This window comes from Homo sapiens, chromosome 1, assembly GCF_000001405.40.
Source record: "Homo sapiens chromosome 1, GRCh38.p14 Primary Assembly".
In the NCBI taxonomy this organism is placed as follows: Eukaryota; Metazoa; Chordata; class Mammalia; order Primates; family Hominidae; genus Homo; species Homo sapiens.
The window spans coordinates 223,076,992-223,091,598 of record NC_000001.11 but is presented as its reverse complement, the minus strand read 5'-3'; the positions used below and the strand labels follow the sequence as shown (position 1 = coordinate 223,091,598).

General features: G+C 51.8%; 1 annotated feature.

Annotated features, from left to right (window-relative positions):
* Nucleotides 12,473–12,986: an enhancer, noted in NCBI's record as "H3K4me1 hESC enhancer chr1:223251955-223252468 (GRCh37/hg19 assembly coordinates)". NCBI's record gives its function as "activates a minimal SCP1, AML or CMV promoter by ChIP-STARR-seq in naive H9 embryonic stem cells {active_cell/tissue: H9 hESC(naive)}" and the evidence as "EXISTENCE:reporter gene assay evidence [ECO:0000049][PMID:30033119]".

Genomic DNA, 14,607 nt, shown 5'->3' with positions numbered 1-14,607 from the left:
GCACTCACATCCTATGGTTTTGGTCCAATCCCTTCCTTGTGGGGCCTCGGGTTGCTTTCCACAGCCTAGATCTCCCCCTGGGAGATGGCGTCCCTTGGGGCAGCATTTTCAGAGTTTCACTGGGTCTTATCAAGAGACATATGGCACTTGATTTTCTTAAAAGCGGAGCACACCTGGAATATTGTAATTGTCCAAGACTATAGTAGAGTCTCTCTCAACTGCCAGGACTGCAGGCAGTAGCACCAGATTTAGGATGAGGGCAAAGGTGGAGAGAGTTGACCCCAGCCTGGAGCGGCCACCATTTGCCCCCTTGACCAAGTCAGGAAACTAAGAAATGTGTAGGCCTTCATCTTTTCCTGCCTCAGACCTTCCCACGCAGTCCATCACCAAGCTGGGCCAGTTCTACCTCCTAAGTGTTTCTGACTCTACTTCCTGCCATCCCTAGGGTCTGGCTCACTTATCTGGATTACTGTGATAGCCTCTTACTCGGTGGTTCTTGGCCCTAGGCCCACATCAGAATCACCTGGGGAGCCTTTCAAACCTCTCAACACCCAAGCCCCACTCCAAACAAATTATATCAGGATCCCTGGAGGTAGGACCTGGGCATTGTTTAAGGGTTCCCCCAGGTGATTCTCATGTGAACCAGATTAAGGGTCATTGTTCTAACTCAGGAGCTTTTAAAAATCCCGTGGCCTTCCCATGGCCTAGGTCATACCCCAGACCAATTGCATAGGATCTGTAGGGTGGAACCCAGGCCTGGGGGTTCTGTAAACTGCCTGGAGACTCCAATGTGCCCCGGGATTTTGCATCAGTGCTCTGAGAACTACTCCAGTCTTCTCATTCCTTTTCCACACAGCAGCCAGAGGGACCATTCCAAGAACAAATCCAGCCATGTCACTAATGTCACCCTCCAACTAAAATCTAAATGAGGTCAGGTGCGGTGGCTCATGCCTGTAATCCCAGCACTTTGGGAGGCCAAAGCAGGAGAATCACTTGAGCCTAGAAGTTCGAGACCAGCCTGGGCAATATAGTGAGACCCCCCCCATCTCTAAAAAAATAATTTAAAAATTAGCCAGATGTGGTGGCACACACCTGTGGTCCCAGCTACTTGGGAGGTGAAGGTGGGAGGATCACTTGAGTCTGGAGGTCAAGGCTGCAGTGAGCTATGATTGCACTACTACACTCCAGCCTGAGCGACAGAGTGATACCCTGTCTCACACACACACGCACACACACACACACAATCTTTAAATCGGACCTGCTTTTAGGATAAAATGCAGAATTCATTTATCCTAAGCAGCAGCTTCTAGGGCTGTTCCTGAGCTGTGTCCAGCCTCCAGCAGGGGGAGCCTGGGAGGCATCCTGGAGCAGAGGAGATGATCCCTTGAGCTCTCCGGGGTTTAGAACTCTCACTAGGAGCTGGAGAGCCAGATGAGGGGAGGTTATCAGAGCCAAAGGAGTCATCCAGAGTCCATCAACCTGGAACCAGGGGAGCCATGCACCTGCATCATAATACTTGTGGTGCTGGACTAAGATTGTTCTGGAGAGCTGACCCTCCCCACACGCCTGCAGGAACCCTGCTCTTTGTCTGCTAGCTTGTCTGTTTCATCCCCACATTCTCGGTGATCAGCACAGCGCTTGTCTGGCACATCCCAGGAATGTTTGTAAAGGAGAGGGAAAGGGAAGCAAGGAAGGCTGGACTGTCTGCCATGCACCTAGGGCTGCCCAAGGAGTCGGGAGAGCGGAGTTTAGAGTGACCGCTATGATCAGTTCCAAGCTGAGAGTTTAAACTTTGTCTTAAGGACAACAAAGAGATGTCGTGGAAGGGTTTTAAGCTGTAAGGGACATGACTGGATTGCAATTTTGAAGAAATAATCCTGCTACAGTCAGTGAGGAGGTTGGGTTGCAAAGATATTACCTGAGAGCAGAGGATATTAGTTAGTAGACTTTTTTCTTTTAGAAATTCAGGAGCAAGGGATGAGGGCAGAGGAAATGAGGCCTGAGCAAGCGGGGCCCCAGGGCTCTGACCCGGCTGCGTTTTGAGGCCAGGGCTGACTGAGCACAGGGATGGGGGTGCCAGCTGCTCTGGGGTTGCGACACGAAGCACACGGTGCAGCCAAAAGCTGTGAAGGGGCCACGGGAGGCTAGGGAGCCCAAAAGGCGTCCACAGGAAGGACCCAACAAAACCCGCACCCTGGGCCTCAGTTTTGCCATCTGTAAAATGGGACAATATGGGTACAGAGCTCACAGGGTCTGAAAGCGAAGAGACACTTACCTCCGCAGCTGACACACAACAGGCACTGATTACATGTTAACTGCTGTTATTATTTAAAAGAGAAGAGGCTGCAGTTGGGGTCAGTAGGAAGCGGAGCAGGTCAGGGTGGGTGGGTTGGAGGTGGAGCTGGGTAACGCCCTGACTTCTGGTATGTGGTGCTGGGATCCCTCGTCCAGAGGCATGGGGGAGCCGGTAAGGGAATCAGGCTGTTCTGCCTGAACGGGAGAGATCTGAAGTTGACCAGAAGGGGAAGGAGGAGTCAAGGATGGCCCCAGGATTCCAGAGCCATTCCTGAACATAGAGTCATGAGTGGGCTGCAGATAACATGGCAACTGGGATCAAAGCCTTGATCCATGAGAAGTCAGCAGGCCTCTGGAGCTTAGGAAAGAGGCCCAAGCGGCAGGTGCACCTTTGAAAGCCATCAACACAAAGGGAGAGGCGGGAGCGGGGGCAGAGCTTGCAAAGTGAGAAACCCGAGGTCAAGGACGGAGCCCTCGGCAAAAATGGCATTTAATGGGAGAGTAGAAGAAGCAATGCTAGAAGTGCGGGCAAAGGAGGGGTGGCCGGAGAGGTGGGGATGGAGCAGAAAAGAGCAGCAGCACAGAAGCCAGGAGGCCAGCTCCAAAAGTAAGAGCCCCTCAGATAACCATGTGATGAAGGAGTGGGTGAATGGGTGGACAGCCATCGTCAAGTGCTGCTTGAAAATCCCATAAGAGAAGGCCTGAGAAACATGCCCTTGGCTTTGGATGGGGAGGTCACTGATGAACTCCCAAGGATGTCAGGAAAGCATCAGGCAGTTGTTCTGGGGGAATGCGTGGATGTGAAGGTGGAGGCAGCAAGTGTAGACAGCTGCGGCAAGCAATTTGGCTGTGAAGGGCAGGGAAGCTATAGGGTGTTTAGGAGGGAGACATGGGGTTGAGAGGTTTCTGTTCTAAGGTGGGAGAGGCTTGAGGACGTTGAAGTGCTCATGGAAAGGAGAGAGGAAAAAGCTGAGGACTCGGGGAAAAGAGGAGGTCCCTGATTGGGAGTGGGTAAGAAAACAGACATGGGCAAGGGAGCCCCCAGAACACTACAGAGACCCTATAGGAGCAAATGAGTGTGGAGTGAGGGGAGGAGGAGAAGGGTAAGGCGGGGACTCACAGACCTCTATGCAAATACCCATGGCTGTGTTTATAGGCAAGGCCATAAGGATGCGTCTGCACTTGGAAGAAATAGAAGCCAATTCTGAATAGGATAAAACTCCAAGTCTTTACAGAGCTGGCAGCAACCTTGTTGCAGCAAGAAGCGTTTAAGCTGTTTTGCATCTAGAGTCTAACTCACCCCCTTTTAGCACATAGAAAATGTATTCATGGCTGAACTGCTTCCTTGTTTTATGTGTTTTTAGGAAACTTTCTTCAGTGGTATTTTCAAAGAATATAGTTGAGTGTGTGTGTGTGTGTGTGCGCACACATGCATGCATGCAATTTCATCTTGTTTAAAGTTTCAGCTGGGAAAATTAAGCCATACAGATTCGTAATGGAAAGAAATGTTCACTCTCATAATAACCTGATGTGGCGCAGGAGCAGGCAGTGGATCTGTTACACGTTTTATGTGTGTTTGTCAGGCAGCCTGTAATTGACATTATAGCGAACACTGAGGAATTCTTTCTCCCACCAGATCTCTCCTCATTAATTGCACTTAACTTTCACAGAAAAAATTTTCCTTGAAGTGTTCCACGATCTGAGTCATACTTGGAGTGAATCTTTTGGGGAAAAAGTAAGCTAAAATTGCTTCAACTGTTTTTGACTGATGGGATGTTGGAAAACACACATGCACACACACACAATTTTTCTCTCTTCTTTGAAAGAGAGGGAGGAAAAAAAACACTGACCTATTTTTACAGTCATGCAAGTCACTAACGCTAGAGATGTAAACTCCAAACTTGGCAAGGCTGGGGCTGACATCTTTGAAGAGGCAAACCCAGCCAGCTCAAAAGAAAAAGACCACAGACATCACAAAAGTTTAAAATCCTGCATCTGAGCCTACAGAGGGAAACATTTCCTATCCAGAATTTCAGCAAACCTCATTATAGGAGCCCCACTAAAAAGCTTCAGGGATATTGCCAACCGCCATTTCTTTTCATTAAAAACAAGCCTGAAAAAAAAAAAGAAACAGAAAGCAAAGCAACATTTATCACCCAGCAGCACAATGAGAAAGTAGCAAACTCCTAAGCCTGAACTTCAAAGACCTAAGCTCCAGCAGACACCTTCACTGACTCTGGAGACAATTGCAATACTTTTTCAGGATTGATGTGGGTATTTAAATCTGCATTCGAAGACAGAGATAGTACAATTCCAGGCATTGGGGAGCTGAATATCAAGCCTGTGAGAGGAGTAAGTAAGGAGAACAGAAGATCTCATTCCCCACAGTGCACCTTAAAACTCAAACACAGCAGATCTCCCATTAAAAAATGGCTCAGTGTGCCAGGTGCAGTGGCTCACACCCATAAACCTAGCACTTTGGGAGGCTGAGGTGGGTGGATCACTTGAGGCCAGGAGTTCGAGACCAGGCTGGCCAACATGGCGAAACCCCGTCTCTACTGAAAATACAAAAATTAGGCCGGGTGTGGTGGCTCATGCCTGTAATCCCAGCACTTTGGGAGGCTGAAGCAATTGGATCATGAAGTCAAGAGATCGAGACCATCCTGGCCAACATGGTGAAATCCCGTCTGTACTAAAAATACAAAAATTAGCCAGGCGTGGTGGCACACGCCTGTAGTCCCAGCTACTCAGGAGGCTGAGGCAGGAGAATTGTTTGAATCCAGGAGGCAGAGGTTACAGTGAGCCAAGATCGCACCACTGCACTCCAACCTGGCCACAGAGTGAGACTCTATCTCAAAAATAAAAAGAAAAAAAAGAAAAAATTAGCCAAGTGTGGTGGCACGTACTGGTAGTCCAGCTACTCAGGAGACTGAGGCACAAGAATCACTTGAACCTGCGAGGCAAAGGTTGCAGTGAGCCGAGATCGCGCCACTGCACTCCAGCCTGAGCGACAGAGCGGGACTGTCAAAGGACAGCTCTAAAAAAAAAAGGCTCAGCTATCCCCAAGGACAAACTGTGATGCCAACAACCTCACAAGAAAAAGTTAGACTTGACTTGGCTTATCTATAAGGGATGTGCTAGGTCCATGCCAACTGTGGGGCTAGAGGAGACTTCCCCATATGCATAGGATTTGGAGTGAGCTACACACCTTGAGGAGACAAAGGGCCAGGAAGTCAACAGAGCATGGGATTTGGAATCACAGGACCCAAGTTCAACATCCAGCTCTGAAAATTCCTGCTATTGCAAGTTATTTCTTCCAGTTTCAGGTTCTTCTTTGCAGGGCTATGGTGAGAGCTGGCACAAGTATGTGTTCAATAAGCAATTCCTGCATGTAATAATAACAGTAGTAGAGGCACCTGAGTGAGCCACAGGGTCTGCCTCTGCCATTTATTTCTTATGTTTCAGGCAACCCCCAGCTTCTTCGGGCCTCAATTCCCTCATCTGTAAAATGGGGGTGATGATGATGGTGACAATGATGACAGCTACTCTATCTAAATCACTCTCCTGTGCTCCCATACATTCTCTGCTGGTTCTTGGGGGAGCTTCCATTATATGCCACATGAATATGTAATGTGTAAAACACATAGTAATCCACATTGCATAAGTATTTACACATTCCCAATGATGTGAGTGTGTCGGGGGCTGGTTCTCTCTCCCAGCAAGCCAACAGCAGGGCTCCCCCTGACCTGGTTTGAATACGGGCACTGACAAAGACTCTTGCGTTTGACCAAACCTTTAGGCTCCTCTGAGTCCTCTGCTCAACTAGGTATGACTTTGGGCTTCACGCTCTGTCTTTGTAGAATCCAGTTTGAGCAAGAATCCTATTGTCAGTTTAGCAACAATTCCCCACCCTTGGAATCTAATCACCCTGGGTATCTTCTCAGCCTGGCCTGCCTGCAGCAAGAATTCTGTTGTCAGTCTAGCAAAAATGCCTCCTCTTAGTAATTTTCCATCCACGGACACCCACTCTGCTCCTGGGCTATGAATCCTCACTTGTCCCTGTTGGACTCAGTTGAGTTCAGTCTCTCTCCCCACTGCAAGACCCCACTGCAGTGGTCCCGAGAGCTACTGTGATTCCCCCAGTGAATAGAGTCTGCCTTACCATCTATAACAAGTATCACGAATAATTTTTTCTTTGACAGCACCCCAAAGTCACGGGGTCCTCTGAGGCCAGAGCATTCAGCAGCACCAAATCCCAATGTAGCAAGGGGCCATAATCATTATCATTGGTTTCTGGCCCACTGGATTTTATAATCACGGGACCCAAGTTCAAAGTCCAGCTCCTGGCAAGAGCTGATCTCCTGGAACAGCCTCAAAGAGGCCCCTCCCCAGCACTCTCCCCACTGCCCTTCCCTACCTTTGAAACATCTTCTGGCCTCAGATCTCCTCTGCATCCTCAGTTCATGATGTGGCCCTGCTCCAGCCCTGGATTCTTTCCAAATTCTCCCTCCACCTAGACCAGCTGCTTGTCCTCCCAGAAGGGCCCTGACTAAAAGCCTGCAGCGTCAGGTCTGGGGGTTGTGAACCTGTTGTTCCCTAATCTCCCGTTACAATCCATCTCGAACACATTGTCCCTGAAGCCATTATCATCCATTTCAAACAGAATTTATTAAGTGGGAAGAGACGCTCTGAGACTCTCAGGCAAATTCCATTTCTTTGGCGTCGAAAGAAAACAGCCACTCGGAGCAGCCTGGTTTCCATCCACTACAGTGCCAAATGCCTCCGCCTTCTTTCCTGAGGGCCTAAGGTCAGAGAGAGCAGCAGAAGGCCTTGTCAAACTCGGGCCCTTCTAGTAACTTCCAAAGCCTCCAGGGGTGTGGCCAACGTTGTTGAGAACGGGAATATCTGCAGAGGACCTTAGGGTGAGCCTCTCCAAAACTGAGGAAGTACAATGTATGGGGCACGCCTTTTGTCTCCATTCTAGCCCTTCCACAGGTACAGGGGGAGCCTTGGGTGTGGGCGACCCCGACGCTGTGCTAAGGCTGGCATAAGGGAACGTGATGGGCATCCCAAGCAGCCTTCAGTTTACAGGCGTGCTCCAAGCGCCTGCTGTGCACGATGTGGTGTATTAGGCACCATGGGGGTGAGGCTGGGGAAAAACAAACCTCAGACTATACACGTGCACCAGCATCAACTGGAGAAGACAAACATACGCGCCACAGTTAATTAGCCCTACAAAACAGCACCGGCTAATGAAGTGGCGCTGGAAATAATGTGTGTGATATATTTACTGTAATTTAGTTTGTTTTCTGCCAGAATAACGCAAGCTCAGACGTGCCAGGAAGAAGGACGTGAGTTAGTCCTGGAAGGGTAAGAAAGATTTAGATCCACTGGGGCTCCCCCTGGCCCTTCCGTAGTGCCGGACGTCCTCACGTTGCCCCTGACCCAACACATATCTCACTCCAGTCTAAGGATTAGTAATGTACTCCTTGCTAACGCTTTCCCAAGGAGATGGAAGAAAGTTTTTCTCACAACCGAAACAGCAAAAGCTTACCCCAAACCCCTTTCCACTACATGCTCTGACCTCTCTGCTCCCACAGCAATGGGCTCATCCACCCCCAACACCCCCGAGACCTCCTCCTCATGTTCTCCAAACTTCCAAGCCATCTTTCACTTCGAAATCCCATTCCCTTTAGCATTCCATCGGTTCAGCAGTGGCTGGCCAGGCCAGAACCAGGTATTGTGGGTGGAATTGTGTCTACTACAAAAGTCATTTGCTGACGTCCCATGTTCCTTAGAATAGCACCTCATTTGAAGATAAGGCTTTAGAAAGGTAATCAAGTTAAAATGAGGCCATTACTCATCCAAAATGAATAGTGTCCTTATAAAAAAGAGAAACGTGGAGACAGCCACACACACAGAATGATGCATGAAGACACATGAAGATGGTCGACTACCAGCCAAGCAGAGGGGCCTGCAACAGATTCTCCCTCACAGCCCACAAAACGAATCAACCTGCCAACATCTAGATCTCGGACTTGCAGCCTCCAGAATTGTGAGGCCACAGGTTTCTGCTGTGTAAGCCTCCCGGTCTGTAAGACTTTGTTACAGCTGCTGTAGGAAGCTAACACACCCCTCCAGGAGCCCCTGGCTGTGTACAGGAAGCTTCGACTCACATGCTAAGGTGTGAGGGGGGCATGGCAGGTGCTCCGGGAAGGGGAAGCAGCAAAAGCAAAGGCGCGAAAGCAGGATATTCAGGGAGGCCAGCAGCCTGGCTCTGGGGAGGAGTTTGTGATGAGGAGCATAAGGTAACAAGGTGGCCAGGCCAGGTCAAGTACAAACAGGGCTAGATGCTGAATTTACGTGTGACATGCATTGCAATATTCATTTCTTCTTTGTTCCACAGAGACTGCAGGCAGCAGGGTAGCCTTTCCAGGTGCTATAAAGAGTCATTTCTCTGGGACCCAGACTTCAGTCTGAGTATCTTCGCAGCAGATGTGTCCTGTGGGTGGTACCACTTGGTGTCACACCCTCCATCCCATGCCTGCAGCTCCTTCTACAGCACTCAGCTCTGTGCACATCTTGGCATTATCTGGGTCTGCCTCTCTCTGTTTTCCCTGTGGCCTGGTGTCCCTCTGCGGGTGCCCAGTCACACACCTGCACGGGGGGAGGGCCACACACCGTGGACAGCAGTGGAAAGAGCACTGGGCTTAAAGTCAAGGGACTGGGCTGAAGGAGTTCGGGAAGTGCCACCCAAACACGGTATGCCAGCTACCTTGAACCGAAGGCACTGGGCAGCACAGGATGCAGGCGGAGGCTTGCTCTGAGCTGCCTTTGTCTGCCTAAAGACGGACCCTCCAAAGGGACCTCAATTATCATGAATCCCCCTCCCCAGGAAATTCATGAGCCAGGGGAGACTCGCATCACAGCAGAGGGGACTGAAGGTTGATGCCATGCCCAGGCCAACTTTGTCATAGGCTACCCATATTCTCCCAAGGGCCCATTCATCTTTCCCCAAATCATTCATTCTCCCCATGGCACCTCCATCCCCTCTCCTGCCTCCGCGGTGAGTCAGGCGCATAAGCTTCTAGGTCTCTCATTGGTTTGGAGATATTCACTTTTCTTTCCCATGATGCATCCATGTGCATAATAAATGTGGTCACCCTTCCTCCTGCTAATCCGCCTGCTGTCAGTTTATTCCATAGACTCCATTATGGAGCACTCAGAGGGTAAGGTTTCCCCTCTTCCACGGAGCCTTGCTGAGCCTCAGTTTCCCTATGAGGCAGGCATACTTCACCATCTCCTTTCAGGCTGGATATTCATTCTAAGGCCACACATGAATATGAGAATATTCAGGCCTTTTAGGTAGAATATTCTAAGAATCTTAAACGATGGTACCTCTTAGTGGAAGCAGTATTCTGACAAACCAATGGGGCAGGGAGGGTGGGAAATGGTGTTTTATGGTCACTCTGGGACCCCAGGCAAGGTAATCCTAATGGAAGCTCAGGCTTTTGGGGCGGGCTTTTTTTTTTCCTGTCTACGAATGGAAACATGAAGCAGATTTCGCAGTATCTCCCAGGGAACTGGACAGTCTACTTTGGGGCCGGCGCAGAAGAGATGACCCCTGACCACCTCCCGGTGTGCTGGCTGCGGCTGGACCCGAGGGCGCGTCCTCCCGAGCCTCTGCGGCTACTCTTCTCGCCGCCCCCAGGTGGTGCTGCAGGACCACAGCCTCGAGGCTCCTCCGCCCCAGGTGCCCGCCCGGCAGCCCCAGACCTGCCTGGATTTACTCCCTTCAGCGGGAGGAGACACCAAGAGGCCGACGCGTAAATTCCAGGCCTGGCCTTCTTCCAGCGCTCCAAAACCTTCTGGAGCCTTCTCAATCAATAGACTCAAAGGCTTTTAGCGTGTCCCTGCCACTTGACGTCAGAGGTGACACGGGTCTGTGAGCCTGGCTGCTGGAATTCACACTCAGCCAACACCCAGCTCGGGGCTGTTCCCCTTGAGCCTGTCCCAGTGCCCGGAGGGGCCTCTTTCCCTCATTCCTCCCCTTCTAGAAACCCTAGACACAGCGCCAACACCACACCCGGAGGCGCCGGCCTCAGGGGAGAAACCACAGTATACACACACCACACATACTATGTGTACACACACTACACAGTGGACACCCACCACACGCACAATACACATGCACGACACCCTGCACACACGTGCCACAGGTCAGCCTGGAAGCACGATCACAGAATGGGAGTCCTGTGGTGAAATCCTCGCTGATCTAGAAACAGCTGCACGGCCGCCCTTCCCGGGGAGAGTCCCAGGTCCTCAGAAGAGCCCCAAGTTGCAGCCCGGCCCATGCCTACCTGCAGCCCTGCAGCAGCAACACACCTGGAGGCAGAGAGAACTTTGGAATATGCTAGAAAGCCAGTAAGCGCACATCTCCTCAGAGCTTTGCTACTTTTGTCAAGAGTTCCATGCTACTTTATGAGGTAATGGAAAGACAAGGTTAAAGCTGATTGAGCTCAAGCTACATCTTTTACATGTTAAGGGCCCTCATTGGACCCTGACCCTGGCTACTCATGAGGGAGACTTTTCCTCCCTCTCCTGTGGGCCTGTGTGAGCCAGGCATGGAGCTTTGCCTGGGCACTGGTCCTTCCCCCCCAGGGCTGTGAGGGCAGGATCCATGGCCCTGGCAGAGTGAGGCTGGGGCCGGCATTGGAGCCTGAGGGGCAGGAGACCCCAGAGAGTTCCTCCGGAGCAGCACAGGGTGGGCATTGGGGTCAGAGCCTGTGGCCTTCAAACCTGGTTGCTCACACTACTGCTTCTCAGTACAGCCAAGGTGGTGCACGAATCCAAGAGAAAAGGTGAACGGAGAAGCCCGGTCCTGTGGGCCAACCCCAGGGAATGCGCTTCTTGGAGAACTGGGAGGCCTGAGCCCTGTCCTGTGGCTGGGGACAGTCCAATCTGTGATGCAGTAGATGCTGGGGGCCTCACGGAGGGCTCTGAGCTGAGGGTCCTTTCCACCCCCAGCCCAACCTCAGGGCCAAGAAAAGAAGGTGCTCAGTGACCCCGCACGAGCTCTTTCCCGGGTGCGCGAATTTCATGCAGTTATATTAAAATAGAAATACTCAAAGCCGCTTGGACCCAACTGACTAGCTGGGCATTAACATGGTGCCTAGGTAGGTAGGGCCTTCCTGGATTCCAGCTGTTGGACCCTTTTCTCAACAATGCTTACTTACACAAGCAACTAGGGATTGGCCCCCAAAATGAGGATTGCTGGGACTTGCAAATGATAATTGTCACCAAATAGGGTCTGGATAATTAGAATGAAGGATGATTAAAAGCGTGAGGAATCTTGGAAGTTTAAAGAGTCCAGCCTCTCCACGAGTGTAGGAATTCATTCTCATTCTCCCGGCAGGGATGATCCGGCCTCTGTGTGAACACTTCTAGGGACAGGGCACCCCCTTTTGGAAATCAGACCACTCCAGTATTAAAGAGTTTATTATTCACTCCTGCGTGGGCGTAAAATCTGCCTTCTGAGACTTTGGCCTGCGGGTCTGAATTCCACCTCTGAACCTCCAGAGAGGAGCCTTCCCCTCCCACTCAGCAGGTCACCCATGTCTCTGTCACTGACCACTGTCCACAAAGGGGCTGTTTAAGAGGGCAAGGGTGAGTTGGCAGCTACTTGGATCAAGGCGACCTGCCACACTCATTCTGGGGAAGTCACCAGAGTACATGGCCGAGGCTGGAAGGCAGATGTTTGAGTCTGTCAGAGTCTGTGCATTGACAGGATCCAAAAGCCTGGGGCAGCAGATGAGAGGTTCACAGCTGCTATGTACCCCTCCCCACGTGGAAAGGCAGACACAGGGGGACCCGTGGCCCTCACGTAGAATGCGTGGTCTCCAATGGTGGCCTTGGACCCCTCTTCCCCTGTGATCAGCCCCAGCAAGAAGCGAGGCTGTCCCCCTTCCCCCTGTGTCGAGCCATAGAAGGAGCAGCAGTCCTGGGCCCAGCCTTTAGCAGTCCTGGCAGTTTCCTCTTTCTCTTGGGAAAAGCCAGCGACCACACTGTAAAGCAGCGCTGATGAGTCTCCTGAACAGTGAGCACACATGTAGGGTAGAAGCTTCAACTCTCCTCTACCTGACCATCTTCAGTCATCATCCATGCCCCAGTTGTACCACGGCTGGTGCCAGCACAGCCCTGCAACCCTCCTGCTTCTGCTCAGGACTCCACTGCCTGCTGCTCCTAAGCCCCTCTGCTGGCTGCACTGCCCAAGCCGGAACCTGGCTGGGGGCCTCCCTCCTCCCTCTGGCCTCTTCTCCCCAGCCTGGAATGGCCCAAGCCCTGATGGAGGAATAAACGTTCCAGCAGCCAGAGCTGGAGAAACATCTGAACGAGGTCACAGATTGGCGTTGATGGATGGACCCCCAGGTTTCCTGAGGGCCTCATAATTTTTTTTTTTTTTTTGAGACAGTCTTGCTCTGTTGCCCAGGCTGGAGTGCAGTGGCGCCATCTCGGCTCACTGCAACCTCCACATCCCAGGTTCAAGCAATTCTCCTGCCTCAGCCTCCCAAGTAGCTGGGATTACAGGCACCTGCCACCACGCCCAGATAATTTTTGTATTTTTAATAGAGAGAAGGTTTCGCTGTGTTGGCCAGCCTGGTCTCAAACTCTCAACCTCAGGCGATCCACCCTCAGCCTCCCAAAGTGTGAGCCACACCTGAATTACAGGTGTGAGCCACCATGCCGGGCCTGAAGGCCTCATAAATATTGATTCCATTCCCTCTCTGTCCCTTGCAGCTCTGCTGAAGGATTAGCATGTTGTGGCGGCTTCCGGAGGAGGAAACGAGGGTAACGGAATGCATTGAAACCCAGAGTGCAGGGTCCCTATGCAGCATGGAGTGAGAGTCGGATGGTCGCCTCACTGTGCATGTCCCATCCCCTCCCCAGGGCAGCTACAGACATTACCTCATCTCTCTAAGAGTCTCTGGGACAGGAGGGGAACGTGGCTCTCCTTCCCCTGCTCCCCACACCCAGCCCCATGTGGCACCAGGAAGGCAGGCAGAGCCTGGCAAGGCAGAGCAGGCAGCCCAAGGGTGCTCACAGGACCGAGTAGAACCCACCCTCATATATGGCCCCAGAGAAAGGGTCCCCTGGAGCCCTAGCCAACCCCTGCCTCTTGGGGACGCGAGGTGGCCCTCTGGGGCTGAAGCCTGCTGCACCCTCCACCTCATGGCCAGGGCAAGGGTCCTGGACCCAGAGATCTGCCGGCCTCACTTCTGTTCCCCTGCTCCCTGGCCTTCGTGTCTGGCCTCACTGTGTGCCTGTGTGGCTCTCCCTGTCTGCCTCTGTAGCCTCCAAGGAGGACTGCTGGATTCATTTTGGTGTCTCAGAGCCTCTACTGCAGGCAATGCCTTTTATGTAATAGTTGTTCAATGAGTGAGAAGTTAAATGAAAGAATTAGAGCTTCATAGCGTGGAGTGATGGGGAAGGACCTTAACCTTGCCTAGAACCCAGAAGTTAGACTCCAGGCCGGAGGCCTCGCCACACCCAGCCCCACCATTCACAACTTGAGCCACAGACCCTGCGCGAGGCACAGGTACCGACAGATGGCCACGAGGGGCGCCACGACACTCATCCCCAGCTGCCCTCGGGTTGCACACTCAGGGTTGGGCGGGCCACCTCTCTCCCTGTGGACGTGGAGTGGCCCGCACAGAAGGATGGAAGGGAGGGGTTCCTGGAACAGAGCCCATCACTTGCTGCAGAGGCATCCCCTGAACTGGCCCGCTGTGGGGTTCCTTCCTTTCCCAGGGGCTATTATTGGTATTTCCCACTCATCTTCAAGACTGAAAAGGAATCTTTGAAAACCACAAGAAGGGGAGGGGGCGTGGAGAGGAGCTCCCTAAGCCAACTCCTTCTGGAAGTCACTGATCTCCCAACAGGAAAGCTGGTCTTTCCTGTTTAGACATCGTGTCTGGCAAGAGGAAATCAAGACCAAAGTAACAATAATAATTACATAAACCTATGATATGTTAACATCACTAGTATCAAAAATGGTTCTGTTTGCATAGAGCCTGCCAGGCACACCAGGGCACACAGCCTGATGGTGGGCTGCTGTGGTCAGAGCTGTGAAATTTAGAAGGCTTCACTAGGGATGGGGAGACCCTTGAAGACTCTCCAGGACACACACGCCTGCGGTAACCTTCAGGATCAGGGGAACGTGACTTCAGGCAGAAGGAGAAAGCCGCATGAAATAGAATGAGTGTGGGCTTTGCTCTCTGCCCAGGTTCAAATCGCAGCCCCAGCTCCTGACAG